The sequence below is a fragment of the Homo sapiens genome, chromosome 8, assembly GCF_000001405.40.
Source record: "Homo sapiens chromosome 8, GRCh38.p14 Primary Assembly".
Lineage (NCBI taxonomy): Eukaryota > Metazoa > Chordata > Mammalia > Primates > Hominidae > Homo > Homo sapiens.
The window spans coordinates 10,975,395-10,995,146 of record NC_000008.11 but is presented as its reverse complement, the minus strand read 5'-3'; the positions used below and the strand labels follow the sequence as shown (position 1 = coordinate 10,995,146).

General features: G+C 45.7%; 1 protein-coding gene across 2 annotated transcripts in view, besides 1 other annotated feature; it reads left to right on the top strand.

Moving 5' to 3' along the window:
• The window catches only part of XKR6 (XK related 6), a 305,789-nt gene that overhangs the window by 206,687 nt on the left and 79,350 nt on the right, over positions 1-19,752 (top strand). The gene's annotated exons all lie outside the window — the stretch shown is intronic.
• Positions 18,211-18,712: an enhancer, noted in NCBI's record as "H3K4me1 hESC enhancer chr8:10833945-10834446 (GRCh37/hg19 assembly coordinates)". NCBI's record gives its function as "activates a minimal SCP1, AML or CMV promoter by ChIP-STARR-seq in naive H9 embryonic stem cells {active_cell/tissue: H9 hESC(naive)}" and the evidence as "EXISTENCE:reporter gene assay evidence [ECO:0000049][PMID:30033119]".

The window sequence follows — 19,752 nt, the reverse complement described above, 5'->3', positions numbered from 1 at the left end:
ATGCTCTCGTCTATACATCCTGTGTGATCATGAATCATTAAGGCTTTTTGCAATGTTGACCTAGCCTGAGTCTCGCTAGCTGCAGGGCCTTCTCAGACAATGCTGTTCGTACAAGGAGGCCCCACCATAGACGGGTGAATGTGACACAGGGCTTGAGCTCATCTCTCTTTGTGTGGCCTTGGCTAAGATGGGACTTGTGACACTGGAAGTGTGTTTTCTGTGTATCCCCGTCTTCTCTTCCCCCATCCACATGTTTTTGCTGTCCCACCCACTGCTGTCCTTTTTCTGGGCTAAAATTTAGGGGGAGGCCTCATGAGCTTTGGAATTTGATTTTTATTTGCATTCTGGCTGTATTGTTAATTAGTTCCATAACTCAGACAAATTGCTAAAGTCCCGAGTTAGTTTCCTCATCGATAAAATGGGTATTTTTTTTCTTCCATAGCTGTTCTGCTGATTAAATGGAGTAAGAAGCAGATAAGTGGAGAGTACACACTCAATGCACATTAGTTTCTTAAGGCTCGGAGACACCTGAGTGTGGAAATAACACACAGGTTACTCCCAACTCTGATCATGGACTCTGGTTCCCAGATTTGATTCTTAGAGCAGATGTGACCATGTGGGGACCAGGCATGAGGACAGGCGCCTTGCAGAGCCCACCTCTGCCCTTCCTCTGGCAAAGAATCTTGCTGCTGGTCTGCCACTCACCCTGCATTTTGAGAAGCTGGAACTCCACAGACCTAAGCCCAAGCCCTCCAGCGCTGCATGGGGGGTGTCACATCCAGAGGATGCAGCTGAGTGCCATCCCCAGGAGAGGGGCCTAGAGCCAGGCTGGGGGAGCTGGCTTAGCCGAGGCTGACTCTGAAGACAGTGCAGCAACTCAAAATGAGAGGGTCTGAAGGTGCACGAAAAGCTCAGGGTGGATTCAGATTGGTGGCAATTTCTCCAGGGTTTAGTTCTTAGGAGCCCCCTGGCAGGATGACAGTGGGAAACCCAATTGCATGGTGGGTTCTTTGCAGGGAGGACTTCAGCTATCAGTTAGAGGTTGGGGAACCATGTTCAGGGGGTGGCAAGACTTTCAGGGGCCCAGCCAAGGGGACTGCAGTTTCTAGTGGATCCCAGCTACTGAAGGTAACTGAAACACCAAACAGGATATAGGCCTCATGATAGGGCAGAGCAAGGCTTGGTGGGCACAGAGGTTTGCTGAGTTCAGGTCTGCAGCTGCAGAATTCACTCCAGGCCCTACCCTGATTGCCATGGGGTGGGCTGAGGCTGCAGGTATAGGGCTATATAGCTAAGGCTGAGTGAGGTAGGGAACCCCAGCCCCTCTTTGAATAACTGGGCTTTGGGGGCAACTGAAGCCACAACAGAAATATTCTAAAGGACCACAGAGGAGGAGCAGGAGTGGCATGAGTGGGTCAGAAGTCAAGTGGGCTGGGGGCATGTTGCTGGAAGACAAAGGGGCTCCCAGTGTCGGGTGAGCTAGGAGCAGGGCAGAAGGGAGATTCAAGGGACAGCCCCCAGCCTCTCCCCTGCTTAGTACCAGCTCCTCTGCACCCGGCCTCAGTAGCCGCAGGTGCAGGGCCACCTGCTTTTGGAACGGCTGAGCACTGCAGCGTGTCCACCCTGAAGACACAGGCCCTGGGCCCGCTCAGTGTTCAGCCTGCCACCTGGCTGAGAGCATCATCCAGTTGAAGGAGGCATGCAGAGGTGTGGGACAGCTGGGTCCCCGCCTCCTCCCTCCTCACCAGCTCTTCCCACCCGCTTTCTTTCCTTTCTTCCTTCTATGATGTCACCTCTCGCCACTGCCCTCACACCCCCGTCCCCTTGGCTTCCTGACTGCAGGGCCGCTGCTGCAAGTGGTAGGTGCTGATTAAGATGGATGGATTGGTAAGAGGCATTCAATGTGACTTGAATAAAAAGCATCCCAGCCTCGCCTGGGCGCGAGAGCTACCAGCCAAAAAGTGGCGTCACTCAGAAGATTACTTTACTACTGGAGCTTGTCCTTAAAATAGTAAAAGCCCTCCGTGTTCCATTCTGGTTGCTATTTATATAAATGTAGATACACACACATATACACTTTTAAAAATAATCTTGCCTCTCTTTCCCACCTCCCACTTCTCTTTCTCCGTGTTGTTTGCTACAGACCAGACACCCATTTTTAAAAGACATGTGAAGAATCCAGTCATTGGGAAAGGTGACATTCTATGACCTTCTCAGGTAGTTTGCCACCTCAGCTCGGCGTGGTGGTTGGTTAGCACCATTCGGGAACTTCGTGAGATCATGGAGACATCCATTTGGTGGCGTTGTCCCAGGGGCTGTGGACGTGCCTCAAGGACCATCTCCTCTTCCCATCTCCTGCGTCAGTTGCAGCATCACTTGTCTCTTGGAGACTTTCTCTCTAGATGCAGAATTGACTTGGTGCACAGTCACTGCTTGGCTAACAGGAGGGAAGAGGTCAGGGAATTGTTCAAGGTCAATGGTGAGAGGGGGATCTGCTCTAGGTTCTTTCTCTTGATGTCCAATCTAGGTCTTCCTTCATGATAAGAACAAGAGGGATTAGAGTTCCCTTTAACAAGCGGATCTGTCTGCAAGGTTTGCAGGCTGCTGCTCATTCAAGGTTGAGCCCTGAGTTTCTCACTGTCTGAAGGAATAGAGACCTTGTTTAGAAGCAGTGCCAGTGAGCTGATGAAAGAAGCACATCTGCCCCTCCACACGGAGAGGGAATTAGGGACCAGTTAGACACAGAGATCTGGCACAGTCAGAGGGATGGGCTTTCAGATAGATGGAGTCTTCATTCTAATAAGCAGCCACTAAAATCTGTTGGTCTCTGGTGTGTGAATGTGTGTGTGTGTGTGTGTGAGAGAGAGAGAGAGACAGAGAGACAGAGAGAGAGAGTTAGTTTATGGTTAATGGGGCTGTAGAATTTACCACCATCTATTAATTTGTTGTAACCTCCTTTAAAAACATTTGACAGCTGAACAGCAACAGGCAGGGTGATGATGATATCATCAGGCTGCTATTTATAGATTTCCATCCCCTGAATAGTGCAGACCTTGGTATTTAGACTGTGGAGGCCTGGCGGCAGGACTCACGGCCAGGTCTGTTTCCTGCTGTACTATCACATGGCTGTCTCATGACATCTGTTGTTGGCCACCTGTATATAGACAGGAAGTTAGAATGTGGATACAGAATCTAAGTGGGGAATAGAATTATCCAGGTTTATTTTTCTACTTTTGTTTTTATAGTAGGCTTTACCCATTTCCTGTATTTGGAAGCAAAAACAGGGAAGAACAGTGTTTGAGACAATTCCAATTTAGATACATGGTCAGGTGTAAAAAGAAAAATGCTGTTTTACACAGAATGGGGCAAGAAAATTGAGAGGCAATGGGAGAAAAACATTGAAGGAATTCTGCAACTCTACCTTTAAATAAATTTAGAAATCATGATTCTGGTCTGATTTGGATCCAGAGGTTAACCACTGATTGCCCACTCAAGTCCACAGAAAACCCTGCTTAAACCTGGGTTACACTTCGCCTGGAAGATTCCATAGAGTATGCTTTTATATTGATTTGAGCTGTTGTTTTGCCTCAAGTTAAGACCTATGGCAACCCCGAGGACCCAGAAAAGATAGACTCATCGTGTTCCGGCCTTAACATCCAAATTAATCTTGAAATAGAACCTATTTCTTTGGATAGCTTCTGAATCATAACTATCCTCAGGCCAGTCAGTTAACCAAGTAAGCAAGGAAGAGCTAACTGGAATCCAAAGTGAAAGAGGCAGTTGCAACTACAGGAAAGCTTTGAACGCTGAGAACTGGGCTGAGTCACAGTGGATTGTGACCCTGGACAGCTCCCATCAGCACCAGAGCAGACTTTTCTGCACCATGACCAGCATTTCCCCCCTACTCTCACCTACTGCGGATGTGAAAAAAACAGTAAGACATTCCCAGCTGGGGTGGCTCACGCCTGTAATCCCAGCACTTTGGGAGGCTGAGACAGGTGGATCACCTGAGGTCAGGAGTTCAACACTAGACTGACCAACATGGTGAAACCCCGTCTCTACTAAAAATACAAAAATCAGCTGGGCATGTTGGTGGGTGCCTGTAATCCCAGTTACTCAGGAGGCTGAGGCAGGAGAATCGCTTGAACTCCGGGAGGTGGAGGTGGCAGTGAGCTGAGATCGTGCCATTGCACTCCAGCCTGGGTGACCAAGTGAGACTCTGTCTCGAAAAAAAAAAAAAAAAAAAAAAAAGACATTCCCCAGTGGCCGGGCATGGTGATGAACACCTGTAATCCTACCACTTTGGGAGGCTGAGGCAGGTGGATCGCTTGAGCCCAGAAGTTCGAGACCAGCCTGGGAAGCAGGACAAAATCTCGTCTCTACAAAAAAAAATTTAAACATTAACTGGGCATGGTGGTGCATGCCTGTGGTCCCAGCTACTCTGCAGGCTTAGGTGGGAGGATCGCTTGAAGCTGAGAAGTTGAGGTTACAGTAAGCCATGATTGCACAGTTGGGTGACAGAGTGAGACCCTGTCTCAGCAATAACAGCAACAACAACAACAACAACAAACATTCCCCAGCAGCTCCACACTCTTAGTATCTTCCAGCCACAGTGTGTTGTGTCCATGGACAGCTCCCACCAGGGCCAGAACAGGCTTTTCAGCACCATGGGCAGTATTTCTTCTCCAACTACTGCCGGTGTGGAAATAACAGACATGCTCCCCAGCAGTTCCACAGTCTTAAAATCTCCCAGCCACGATGGGTTGTGACCATGGACAGCTCCCTTTGGGACCAGAGCAGGCTTTTCAGCACCACGGCCAGTACCCCAGCCCCAACTTCCCACCTGCTGGTCTAAGAGTAACAGTAAGACCTCCACAGCAGCCTCCTTCTCTAAGAGCTCCTGGATAGAGACGCGTTTGTACTAGAGCACGTCTTTGCTGCCACTGCACTGAAAATCACATGCAGGTATAAACCTCTACTCATTCAAATACCTGACTGTCACAAAAGTTTTTGTTTGCTTGTTTTAATATAGTGGTGGGGACACTGCAGTCTCAATCAGCATTTACAAGGTGCACCACTGCTGTCTGGGAGATAATGACCACCTATTGTAGATCACACGCAGAAGCAGTGTCCATAACCCGACTCCCAGTTTGGCATCTGCTCTGCAGACCTCTGATTCCCTAGATACAGAATGAAGCATGACACACTTCGTCTGATCCTGTTACACGTGGCAAACAGAGCTCAGTCAAAAGATACCAGAAGTGACAGATTAGTATGGCTAGATCATTTTTACATGACATCTGTGAGACTACTTCCCATTCATAAGGTGGCACTTCTTCCTAATAGTCTGTGACCCAGACAGAATATTTGCCTCCCATGTCACCAAAATGTTATTAATAATACTTCTGAACAGTGCTATGTGATAGGCACTATACTAAATGCTTTGCATGTATTGTTTAACATTCACAACTTCTGTGAGGTAGATACTGATATTGGTCCAGTGTTATTGATATATCTGAAATTAAAAGAGGCTAAGGAACTTACAGAATGTTACCTGTTCATCAGTTGAAACCCAGATTTAAACCTCTTCTTCCAACCACTCTGCTATATGGTGAAAGCCATCATTTTATCCTTTTCTCTTCTTCCCTGGGACTTCTTTCAATTCCCGAAATGGATTTGCTTTTTTAAATTAAACGTAACGTAGATATCAATCATCTCGGGTCTCATATGGTTTGTGATTTCGGGCTAGTTAAGTTTTAGTTAACTATGAGGTCCTATGGTAAATCACCATGGAATGGCCCTTCTGGCTGTCTTGTTTTCTTACAGACAATTCAACGAAAGGAATTATAAGAAAAGTATTAGCCCATGTAAAATTCTGTCAGCCTTCATTTTATCTCACTACTCATTTCTGTTAATCCAAGCAAATAGGTCTTTTATTCAACCACTGGGCTCTGACTAGACTTACCTGAATATTGCCCCTGTGAGGCATCACCCAGCTCCTTGTATAACCTCCACAGAGCTCATGCCCTTCCTAGGCTGCAGACATCACTCCACTGTCTCCTTCTTGGCCCCTAACCCAGGTGGTCATGGTGAGTCAACATAAGCATGTAGCTTGCCTATGGGCATATTCAGTGATTGTTGGAACGGAATCTATTGCTCGTGTCAAGCAAGTATTTTATGTGTCCAGGATACTGTCCTCTGCCTTTTGCTGTGAGTTGCCTAAGACACTGTGACTTTGGGTCATCAAGAAACGTTCCACAAGCCACCGGACAGCAAAGGGAATCTGCACCTTAACTCCGCAGCAGGCCTCTGATAGAATCCAGACGTTGACTTTGTAGAATCATGGTTCACATGTTTTGAGGTTATGTTCTGTGACAAATTGGGACCATTAACTCTCTTTGATCTCTTTTCTTCCTTTGGTGCCCCAAGTTGGTGCCGATTTCTGTGACTGTGATACCTTCATTCTCCTTGGCTCTGAGCAGGTGACATGTCCCAGACAGGCCCAGGGGTGTGCCCTTGTCAGCAGTAGATCATGGACTCAGTCCTGGTCCTCAGTAGCTCTCGTTTCTGTGTGGACCTTGCATGGAATGGAACTGTGCCTAGCATTCCTTGCCTTTCTGATCTTCAGTTGCATCTACGTGACAGTGGGGGTTCTCAGTTCTCCTGCATATGGAGGTAGTGTCTGTGTGTGCTCTGTAAGGCACGCCAGGGATTTCCACAGAACAAAAAACAAAAGGTTGCAAAGGAGACCAGGATATACGAAACAAAATGACTGAGTATTTCAGAGAGAGCGACTGAGTTAATTCACCTACTCATTCATTGAAGAAAATTAATGGAACACCTACTTTGTGCCACATGCTGTGGTAGGTGCAGGGGAAACAGTAACAAACAAAACAGATTAAGAATCCATACCCCCATGGAGCTTACATTCTAGAAGGGAGTCAGATAATAGATAAAATCAATAAGGAAAATGTTAAGTGGGGGTAAGGGGCAAAAAACAAAGCAGGGGATGGGGATATGAAGTTGGCAGGTGGTTGAAGGGGAGGGTGAAACTTTAGAGGGGATGGCCCGGGAACAGCCCATTAAGTTGATTTAAATAATGTTTTTTGTTTTTTGTTTTTCAGTGGAAAACAAGGGGACAGCCCTGGGCCTGTCCAAAGTAGGAAGGACAGCATCATTAACCCCTGGGTACTCTCAAAAAAGTGGTTCTTGAGTAAAGACCTGAGAGAGGTGCAGAGTGAGCCCTGCAGGTGCTGTGAGACAGTAGCCCAGGATTCTGCTAAGAGCCATGGCAGGAGCTTGCCTGAAACATTGGAGGACCAGAAAGGAGGCCATTTGGGAAAGACTAGAGATGACAGAAGTGGTAGACAGAATGTCCTGGAGAAAACTGGGCCCATATTATGGAAATCTTGGGGCCATAGTAAATGCTTGGGGTCTTAATCTAGGTGAAGTGGGAAGTCATGGTAGGGCTTTGAGCAGAGAAGAGACAGGGTATGATTACAGTTTAACGTGGTCCCTCTCACTGTGTCCAGAATACACTGTGGGAATGTGGGGAGGAATGGAAGCCAGTTAGTGTCCACTGCACAGCAGTAATCCAGGTGAGAGATAGGGGTTGGTTTGTGCATAGTCACACAAGGGATGATGAGAAGTGGCTGGAATCTAAACATATATTTGTGGCCAACAGTATGTGATAATACATTGGATATGGGGTGTGTGAGAGAGAATTCAAAGTTGACTCTGTGGTTTGGTGCCTGAACAGCAGAAAGAATAGCTTCCCATTTTTCTCAACTGTAAATTGATAATGATTCTGCTCTTATCCAGTGGACTATTGAGAGGTTTTGAGTGAACTGATCAACTAGTAGTACCACTTTACATTTCCAGGACTGTAAGTGCCTCTTCAGGACAAAGAATTGTGGGATCCAGTTGTTCAACCCACACATAGATGCATCTGTTAACCATGTTCTGTAGTTTCTTTAAGACTTGAAGCTGCTTAAACATTACTTTCTTACTACATGGGTAATATTTATAGATTACTACATATCATGCACTTGGCTAAGGAGTTACATGCCCTTTAATCCTTAAACAAACTTATGACTTGGGAGGCTGAAGTGGGAGGATCACTTGAATCTAAGAGTTCAAGACCAGCCTGTGCAACGTAGTGAGACCCCCATCTCTAAGAGAAAACTATTTAAATGTTAAAAAAAAAAAATTGGCCAGGCATGGTAGTGCACACCTATAGTCCCATCTACTTAGGGGCTGAGGCAGAAGGCTTGAGCCCTGGAGTTCTATGCTGCAGTGAGCTATGTTTGCACTCCAGCCTGGGTGGCAGTGTCAACCCTATCTCTTAAAAAAAAAAAAGAAACAACAACAATAAAAACCTATGAAAAAGATCTTAATATTCTTACTTCATAGATAAGGAAACCGAAGTTGAATGAGATTAAAAGGAATATTGTCTAGATCATTCAGCTGATATATTTGATAGAACAACAATTTAAACCCAGGTATGTATAATTCTAAAGCTTGTTCCCTCAACTATGACATTCTACTGCCTCCCACACACTTTTTTCTTGCTCAAAAACTACCAAAATCTACTATTGCTGATCACAGAATTCCACCATCTTTTGTAAGAAAAAAATTCTCATTAAACTTTTCCACAGCCTTGAGATCGTGAAGTATAAAGATAATGGTGTCGCTTTTATCTTTCATAGTTGTTACAAATTTTAAAAACCATATTTGTAGATCCTTTTATTCTGGGCATCATGTTATATTTAGAAAGGCTGTCTACATGATGAGATTATAAAGATATTCTTCTATTTATTTTCTAATTCTGTCATTTCATTTTATGTTTACATAATTGATCCATCTGAAATTTATTTAGAATACATACGTTGTGAAGTTGGTATCCACTTTTATTTTCTCCAGATGTCGAATCATCTGGGCCACCATCACTTATTAAATAATCTACTCCTCTGATTTGAAGCACCACCTTTGTCATTTATCATATTCCAGTGTGATCTTCAGTCTGTTTCTGGTCTTTGTAATATCTCCAGTAGATCTGTCTACATCTTTTATGCAAGTACTATATTGTTTCCACTATTCTGTATCTTTGTAATATTTTTATCATCTATTAGTAGTCTCCTTCTCTCCTATATTTTTCAGAAATTTTCTAAATATTCTTGCTTGTTCATTTTCCCATGTGAATTTGAAAATCAGCTTATCTAGTTAAAAATCCACTGGTTCTGGCCAGGTGCAGTGGCTCATGCCTGTAATCCCAGCGCTCTGGGAGTCCAAGGCAGGTGGATCGCTTGAGCTCGGGAGTTCAAGACCAGCCTGAGCAACATGACACAACCCCATGTATTAGTCTGTTCTCATGCTTCTAATAAAGACATACCAGAGACTGCGTAATTTATAAAGGAAAAAAGGAAAGAGGTTTAGTGGTTACAATTCATGATCTCAAGGCTGTGGGAAAGTTTTATGAGAGGTTTTTTTGTTTGTTTGTTTTTGTTGTTTTTTGTTTTGTTTTTTTGCTTTTGCTTTTTTTTTTTTTTTAACCAAAAGATGGTAGAATTCTGTCATCAGCAAGAGTAAGTTTTGGTAATTTTTGAGCAAGAAAGAAGTGTGTGGGAGGCAGTAGAGTGTCACGGTTAAGGGAACAAGCTTTAGAATTAGACACACCTAGATTTAAATTGTTATTCTATCAAATATATCAGCTGAGTGATCTAGACAATGTTCCTTTTAATCTTACAATCATGGCAGAAGAAGTTCAGGAAGAAAGAGCAAAGGGGTGTCTTACATGGTGGCCTGCTGGCAAGAAAGTGGGTGCAGGAGAACTCTCCTTTATAAAACCATCAGATCTCATGATACTTATTCTCAATCATGAGAACCACACAGGAAAGACCTGCCCCCATGATTCAATTACCTCCCACCAGGTCCCTCCCGTGACATGTGGGAATTATGGGAGCTACAATTCAAGATGAGATTTGGGTGGGGACACAGCAAAACCGTATCACCCCCTCTCCACAAAAAATAGAAAAAGAAATTTAGCCTGGCATGGTGGTGTGTGCCTGTAATCCCAGCTACTCTGGAGGCTGAAGTGGGAGGATTGCTTGAGCCTGGGAGGTGGAGGTTACTGTGAGCTGAGATTGCACTACTGCACTGCAGCCTGGGGTACAGAGCAGGACCCCGTTTCAAAAAAAACAAAAAACCACAACAAAAACCCACAATCCATTGGTTTTTATTGGGATCATATTAAATTTATGAATTACCTTAAGAAGAATCAACAACTTTACAATGTTGGGACTTCCTAAGAACATCAGATGGCTTTCCATTCTTGAAGTCTGTTATTTGCTTAGTAGAGTTTTAATGTTTTCTTCATGCACATTTCTTCAAATATATATATATATATATATATATAGAGAGAGAGAGAGAGAGAGAGAGAGAGAGAGAGAGAGCCATGTATTTTATCTTTTGTGTTACTTTTAAAAAATGTTGTTTTCATTTGGAAAGCTGATGGATTTTTGCTTATTAATTCTGTACTCTGCAATCTAGTCATATTCCTTTACTATTTTAATCATTTATCAGCTGAGTTTCTGGACTCTTTCCCCTGAAAACAATGATAATTTTACCTCTTCTTTCTTAATTTTTATAATTCTTTCTTTCTTTTTCCCACCACTTGCTGCCTATAGATCTGTCTTTCTAATTAAGTTGAATAGTGCCCTCAGGCCAATGCTAAAAATCTGTATTGATAATAGACGTTCCTAGGAAACTTGTAGTGTTTCCCAAATAAGCGTGGTACAGCCTTTTGAGTTGAGGGGTGTGTGTGATTGTGTATCCATGTAAGAATTTTATTATGTTTTACAATAAAGAGTTTTATTTTGATTGAGAATGGATGTTGAATTTTAGAAAATGCTTTTTCAGTAGCTATGGAGACGGTTGTATAATTTTTCCCTTTTGATCTATTAATATGTAAAGTTATGGTAATAGGTTTTCTAATACATCCCTGTATTTGTGCAATACATGCCTCGTTTGTCTAAGGTATGTCATTCTCTTGCTGTGCTGGTAGATTTTGTTTGCTAATGTTTTATTTAAGAGTTTTGCAATAATATTCCAAGTAAGATTGGTCCATAGTTTTATTTTTTATTTTGGGGAGTTTGATGTCAATGTGATGCTAGTTTTATAAAAAGAATATGTAAGGCCGGGCGCAGTGGCTCACACCTGTAATCCCAGCACTTTGGGAGGCCAAGGCAGGCGAATCACGAGGTCAGGAGATCAAGACCATCCTGGCTAACACGGTGAAACCCCAACTCAACGAAAAATACAAAAAATTAGCCGGGCATGGTGGCGGGCACCTGTAGTCCCAGCTACTTGGGAGGCTGACACAGGAGAATTGTGTGAACCTGGGAGGCGGAGCTTGCAGTGAGCTGAGATCAGGCCACTGCACTCCAGCCTGGGTGACAGAGTGAGACTCCATCTCAAAAAAAAAAACAAAAAAAAGAATATGTAAGCTTTTCTTTTTCTATAGTCTTGAACAGTTTAAATAGTGTTGCTGTTGTCTGTTCTTAAGGATTAGGTAGAATTTTTCTGTAAAACCTAGTGGGCCAAGTTCTTTCAGTGTGTTCTGCTCTGTGATGACTATTTTTTTCTGTGATAATTGTTCTCTTTACCTTTTCTATCTTTCCAGAGGTTGGTTTTGGTAATTTATATTTTTCTATAAGATAATTAATTTCATTCAGGTTTACAAATTGATCTTTACAGAATGGAGCAAATAGGCCTTGCAGGCTTCCTTTAAGGTCTTCACAGTCTGTGGTTGTTTCCCGATCACTGTTTCTTAATTTGTATGTTTGTCCTTTCTTCCTTTTTTCTTGATGATGTTAACTAATGATTTATTTTATTTTTTCCCAAAAAAAGCAGGTCTTGAATTTATCACTTCTACATTTAAAACATTTTTGATTCATTACTTTTTAATTTTATTAATTTTTAAATAATTTTAATTTTGCTCTTTTATTTTCCTTGGGTTATCTTGTTGCATTATTTTTTTCTCAAGATCCACTCTGAGAATATTTTTGTTCAGTATTATTTACAAATTGCAAGATGTTTTCATATATTCTTTCATCTGATGCTTACAACCCTGTAAGTTAATTGGTATGGGCCTTCATTTCACAAATAAGAAAATAGGCTTAGAGAAGTTAAATGGCTTGCCCAAGGCCATATAGCTAGGAAGGAGCGGAAATGGGGTCCCAGTGGAGCCAGCTGTCCCTGGTGCCCTTGGTTCAGCCTATCCTCAAACCCCAAGCCATGCCTCCCTGGGGCTGCGCTCTCTGAATACGTTCTTGTCCTTGTACCAAACTCCACCTTCCTTTGGTCACTTCAACACCTACAACCACAGCAGGTTAAGGTCACAGCATCTAGAATCTTAGAGAAACGCCAGGGCCTCTAATGCTGGCCACAAATCAGCTTCAGATTCTTTTGTAGACTTGCACCCACATCACTTTCTCATAAAACGATCTGACTCCGGGAAGATATCTCCCGGACTTCTCACCATTACTGAACTTGACAGCAAACAGAACATTTCTCCCGTTTTCCCTTAGTCACAACAGGGCTACTAATGTTCCTTCTCAGCCTGGGAGGTGGGTTAAACATACATCAAGGCCCAGGTACAGACTGTAGAGAAGCACTCATGTTGGAGGAAGCTGCTGTTAAAGAGCATTGTGCTTTCTCATTTTTAGAGGTGGGACCTGAAGCCCAGAGAGCTGATGTGCCTGTCATTTTTGAATGCATTATCCTATGACATCTTAGACAGAAAAAACAGAATACATAGGAAATCTCTTCGGACTTCCTTCTTTCTTGAGAAACCGTATCTTTCATTTGCTTTCTTGGAAATGATTTTCAACTGGGAGAAATCAAAGAGAAAGTGCCGTTCTCTTATCTTTTATTTTGTTTTACTTTGCTGCCACATATTATGCCACCTACCATTTGCCTTTGAAACAGAGCTGATAAGAAAGTCATCAGACAAGGGTTGAGTTGACGTGTGTAGACTTCATTGATTGCATTTTCTACCTTTAAAGCCCTTACCCTAGTAGCTGCCTCAAGTTGGGGTAGCAACTAAGGCTTCTGCGGTGATCACAGCCTTTAGTGCATGAAAGTTTATTTGAATGGCATGAGCCTTGTTTTATATAGGCAACTAGCCATTGGAATTGTGAATAGCCTTAATCCAAGCCATGAGCTTTTCCTAAACAATTAGCCTTTGGAATGAAAGCACAATTCATGGATTTGCCCATCTTTCCATTTATCAGCCATCACTTTGACATCTCTACTTAACCACAAAATGGTGGCACCTCCACTGGAGAAAGAAGGAATAATTGGCAAAAGACTGAAGCTAGAATATGAAGGATTAAACTTAGCTATAAGGAAGAAATTGCTTAAGTCATTAGACCAAGTTTTCAGGGGAAGCTGGGCAATGACACTACCTGGGCATCTTTAATAGAAGTTCTGTTATATTTTTTCACCTGGAAGTGCGGTCAGTGCTAAATTTGGGAGGCTTATTCTAGATCCCTGGGTCTATACATTTATTAATTTTTACATTTAGAAAATGGCAGAATATCTTTTGCTTTTGAACTACTTCTTTCCAATGTCTTTGTTAGTGGAATTCAGAGAGATCTGGCAACTTTCTGGAAACGCTTCATCTCTTTCCAAAGCTCGTCCTCCTCACCCGCAATCTGATCATCACCAAGCCTTGTTGACTGCCTTGGAAATATCTCCTCTACTTGGCCCTTCCTTCTGGTGAGGCCTCCATGGGCCTCACCTGGAACGTGCAGTGCATCCGAAAACACATGGACTATTGCTAGAGTTAATCCTGCCATGGGAGCAATTCATAACTTCACTCTCGAAAATCTATTTACCCCCTCGTATGCTCTGGGGACAAGCACACATTTTTCCATGGAAAAGTGGCCACAGCTGCCCATCTCTCAGTATTGCAAGAGCTGTTCCTTTGCTCACTAGCATTAATCTGTTGTCTGGGCCTGGTTGACAGTGGGAGAGTAGAAGACAACAAAGGCTTTGGGAGATAGTGGGGGTAGGAATTTAAAATGGGAAAAAGCATCTACAGCTACCTGGTATTTTGACCCTTCAAACACACGAAAGAACAATGTTGGGCTCTTCTCTTTTTTTTTTCTGAAACAGCTTATGGAGTTCTGCTGCCACCTCCAGTGTCCCTGTCTCTAATCCCTCCAGCCTGCAGCCCATCAGTCATGATCTATACAACTTGGGTAGGTCAGTAGATACAGAAATAGACAGACAGACAGAGATCATAATCCATTATTCATGATCCATGCAACAGGAATAGATATTGTTATCCATCAGTCATAATCCGTGGTATATAGATAGATGATAGATAGGTGATAGACGATAGATAGGTATCACAATCCCGAGTCATAATCCATACAACTTGGGTAGGTCAATAGATAGAGAGATAGACAGACAGATAGACAGAGATCATAATCCATAATCATGATCCGTGTAACATGGATAGATACCATTATCCATCAGTCCTAATCCATGGTAGATCGATAATAGATAGGTATTAAAATCCATCAATCATAATCCATACAACATGCTAGGAATGTGCTAGGCACGTTCCTGCTGTTAAGGAAACAGCAGTGAACACAATGAATGAGCATCCCTGTCCTCATGGAACTGACATTCCTGAGTGGCCTTTCCTACTTATAAGCCAGGTTAGATCAATCCCCTGTTTAATATCTGTTGATAGCTCCCTGTCACCCATGGGATCTGGTGTGGACATCTCTGCCTTGTATTCAGAGCCCTCCTCAGTCTGAACACAGGGGGCTTTTCTTACCCATCTGGCCCCTTCCCCTGCAGCCCCGCAAGCTGCAGCCCTCCCCAGACCTCCTGGGCACTCCAGAACCTGGCCTTCCTGCCTCTGCCTGGAAGGCCCCTCTCAGTGGGGAACTGCAGCCTCATCCTTAGTACCAAGCTCAGACGTTCCCCCTTCTTGAAGCTCCCTCTGAGGCCACTCCCTTTCTGGGCTCCAGGCCTGCATAGAGCATCTCATTCCAAGCTCCCCTGTCTGTTCATCTCAGATGGGGTTTTCCTTGGGACAGAGATGTCTGCCTCAGGGTTTGGCATGAGCCAGGACGGGGCAGCAGCAGGGTTGGGTTGTGGTGTGTGAACCCGAAGAAACCTTCCCTGCCTGTTGACTCTTCCCTTGGGGTCACAATAGATGTCCTTATAAGTCCCCCAAACACCAAGAGGACCAGAGACCACTCTGCCCTTGGAAAGACCTCAGCCTGGGAGTCTGTGCGTGACGGCACAGCCCTGGATCTCCCCTCCCCGCAGCACAGGGTCCTCACTCAGAGCTGAGAGAAAACCCCTACGGAGGGTCCAAGTAGCCACAGGGAACAGAGGGTCAGGAGCTGCTGTGGCCATTGTCCGTTTCAGGCAGCCTGACTTGTCCACAAGGGACCTGCAGACATATGATTTCGTGTGTCCCCCAAGGAGGAGCCAGGCTGCACTCAACCCACCTTACAGAGAAGGAAATGGCTTAGGCAGGTGAAGTGGCTTGACCAACTGTCTTGGCTGCTTCAGGGGCTAGAGGGTCGGGGGTCTTTCTAAAGGACCAGACCGGAGGAGAGACTGTGAAAGGGACTGGCTCTGGTGTGGAGGTCCTGCTGCCTTATCCCCTTGGAAGGTGGCCTGGGTTCTCGGCAGGTCCCCCAGGAACCAGGAACGTGCTGGCTGCCTGGGGCCACTGGGACCCCTGTAGCTGCTGACCCGAGCCTTCTGCTTGCTTCCTCATTTTTCTGCAAACACAAAGGAGCATTATTCGGTTAACTTATGTGTTCTTTCAACAAATTCCTATTGAGTTCGCTGGGCCCTTGGGGGTTGGGGGAGTAGGCTAGTGGGCCTGGCCCTTCCAGGAGCCCTTCCTAGTGGGAGGAAACAGGGAGGGGCAGAGTAGGATGTGCCGTGAGATCCCCAGAACCTCCTAGGGACAGTGAGCTCTTTCTCATTGGGGGATTCAGGGAAGACTGCAAGGAGGAGGTGACATTGAAGATGGGATTGGGTCCCTAAAGTCAAGCAGGCTTTGATAGGAAAAATTAGATGATCAGGAGGCATTCCAGGCAGGGGGTGGACAGATGGGTCTGGGCATGGCAGCAGAGTAATTTGCCCGAGGGTACGGTCTCTGTGAGATGACACAGGGCTGAAGCTGGGCCAGTGGCAGGATGACATCTGGGAGGCCTGGAACGTCCAGCTAAGCAATGTGGCCCTGCCCACAGGCCACGGTGGCCACTGAAGTTTCCAAGGGAGAAGAATGACATGGGACAAGGCCGTGCGTCAGCACGGGGGGAGGAGTTGTCTGGCTGCCCCTGGCCAGGGAGGGAGACTGGGGTCTATGGCTGAAGCAGAGGGTGGGCGTCTTTGTCAAAGCAAAGAACCAAGGCAAAGAAGTGAAGAGGGTCAAGCAAAGCTGGAGGAAGCTCATTTCCATCTATGTTAAGGGCAGAGAATGATCTGCATCTGGCTTAACTACCTTGGGCCGAGTGTCTTGGGGTGCCTGTTTCTTTCTCTGGAGGAGAATGCACGAGACCCTAATAAAAAGCCCAAGTGATAAAATACACCTGTTTCCCATCAAATCAGCCTTCAACAAATCGTCTTCCCCCTCCCCCATCACATCATCACATGCATTATTTAATTTGTTTGAGATGGAGTGCATTTCACAGGATGTATAAATCCATGGAAATTTATTAAGTCTTGACAAGAGTTATTGAATGTTATATTAAGTTTCTCAAATTGGCCAGTGTTGGATGGCTTAAACATTATTCATTAATGCATAACATTAAATACCAATAAATTGCATGGTGTAGTTATGAACTATCCTTGAAAGTCATTAAATATGCATATCAGGCAATAAATCTATTCTCTGCTATGAATCTGTTCTGAATCATGGCGAGTTAGGGCTTAGGTGGTGATGGTAATGGGGGTGGGGCTAGGCCCTCATTGAGTGTCACTAGGACCTCAGTGGGTGCATGGGAAATAGAGGCCAGTTGCTTTCCATTTCCATCATTCCTGCTGATGAAATGGGAAGGAGGCTAAATAAGGCAGACCCACTAGGTTTATAATGTTAATCAAAAGAGCAAAAACCTGAAAGCTGGAGACATGTGGGTGACAGTTTCTGCTCCAAAATGGTACGTTCTGGAGTCATCGCCTGTATCACCACCAGTTGCCAAGATAACGGCTGCCATTTATTGAGGGTCCACACTTTTTCAAAAATTAGCTTTTCAAAAGTTAACTTTTCAAAAATTAGCTCACTGGATCCTTCCACACACTTGGAAGGTATGTGCTATTACTCCTGTGACAGTGGTCCAGTAACCTTCCCACGTTACTGCCTGATTCCAAAACTTCTCCTCGTTCTATGACCCCTGCACTGTCTCTATCCCCGAACCCACCTCCGTGATAGACCTTTCGAGGCAGAGGGACATTAGCACTCATCTGTCTCTGAGAGCGGTCACAGCAACAGCAATTAGTCGGGGTGCCCAGCCTCAGCTGTCCTGGCTGTTGAAGATGGCTCATGCTAATGGGCTGGGGCTTGGATAGTTCTGTTGTTACATATTTTGGGTTGCATCCAGGGTTGTAATTTAGTCTCATCCCACATTCCTCCAGTGGCGGGGGACTTACTGCCTCCCTAGACCCACTGGCTGACTGCTTGGCTTATTAGAGAGTCTCATCTCTTAACCTGTGCAGGGGGTTAGGGAATTTGTCATTCTCCACATGTATTCTCCAGTTGGCCACCAGAGGGCAGGGTGTCCCTGGGATGGGGGAGACCAATGGACCCTTGAGGCATGGGTTCTAGGGCTTTCTTTGCTATTGAAAATCTCCATGGTTTCAGGCAGGCCACCCCTCCTGGGTTCCATCTTAGTAAAATGAGGGTGCTGGCCTGGACAACCTCTGCAGTGCACCCCAACCTGGGGAGGTCTTGAGGCTGCTTGTAAAGGGAGTGCCTGTGAGACGAGGTCTCTTGGGGATGCAGAGTCAGAAAACCTCACCAGCTGTGTGATCTTGGGCATGTCACCTGGCCTTTTTTGGATCTGCTTAGCCCTTGGCAGCTGTTCATCCTTTTCTGGTCCTGGCCTCGGTGTTGTGGTGGGATGGGCTGGGGAAGACGACCTGCATCCATGGCATGCACGCTCAGCAGGGACCACCTCCTGCATCTACACAGATGGCCTTGGTTCAGTGTAGCCCCCCAGCCCACTGGGGCTCAGGCAGCCAGATGTTTTCTTTCAGGGAGGCCACATCGCTATTGGAGGATTGCAAGTAAAATCCTAGGTAGCCTGCTCTGAGAGAGAGAGAGAGACAGAGAGAGAGAGAGAGAGAGAGAGACAGGCGAGGTAGCCTAGTGATATGGAAGCCACTGAACCACTTCCATGGCTTTGTGACATCCATTCATCCAGAAATGAGACACAGTGGCTGCCTCATTGTCTTCCTGGATCACGGACTTTGTACTCTTGAACGTGGAGACTGTCTTTCTCACCCTCCTGTGACCATCGTTTGGCACATAGCAGACACCTGGTAACCATGTGTTGTCCAAATGATTGCAGGCCTCCGTGCACAGGGAGCCCTAACACCACCCGGGGGGCGCAGAGGGACAGGCACCTGCAGGCGTATCTGGTTCTCAGGTCCTGTCCTGCAAATGGGGACTGGATGAGCTGCTGTCTGCATGCCTCCGGGTCTCTGGGAGCTGGTCTTCCCGGTGGCAGCTTTCCCTTCATTGAGCTTCCACCATGACATGGGGTCAGATGCCCATGGCAGGGGAAGGAAGGAGGACCCTGCTGGGGTCTTGGGTGGGCTTGTTTACAATCAGTCACTCATTCAACAAATAGACTTTTCTGCTAATGACCCCACTAAACCCTCCCACAACATGGTGGCGAGGTTGGGGGGGGGCACTTTTTTTTTTTCTTGAGATGGAGTCTTGCTCTGTCACCCAGGCTGGAGTGCAGTGGCACGATCTCGGCTCACTGCAAGCTCCACCTCCCGGGTTCATGCCATTCTCCTGCCTCAGCCTCCCAAGTAGCTGGGACTACAGGCGCCCGCCATTGCGCCCAGCTAATTTTTTTTGTATTTTTAGTAGAGACAGGGTTTCACCTTGTTAGCCAGTATGGTCTCGATCTCCTGATCTCGTGATCTGCCCGTCTCGGCCTCCCAAAGTGCTGGGATTACAGGCGTGAGCCACTGCGTGGTGGGCGCTTTTGATACCTCCGTGTTCCCATGAGGGAGGCTTGGAGATTGAGTGAATTGACCAAGTGTCAGAGCAGAATCTGAACCCAAGTCTCCCTACAGAATGTGGTGGAAGTGGCCAGGCCTAAGCAGACACAGTGTGACTCGGCCTTGCGGTCAGCTGGGCTGAGCTGGGATTTGAATTCTGGCCTCCCAGCCCCCTGCCAGTGCTGCTGTAATGGGGCTTTGTTTCCCCTTTAATTGAAAATCTCACTGGGACAGATGTCTCCATTTCCTCCAGCCCAGAGAGGAGTCACACAAATCCGCGAGACCACACGCGTTGTGCAGTGGCGTGGGCCCCAGCAGAGGTGTAATTTTCCTTCTTTCAGCCGTGTGCCCAGGGCAGGTGGTGGGCGAGGGCATGGAAACTCTCGCAGTGGGCAAGCACGTGGCTCTGGCTAGCTCGGAGGACCAAAGGCGGCTCTTGGCTGTTGTTTGCTTTGTAGGGCAGTGCACCTGCACCTG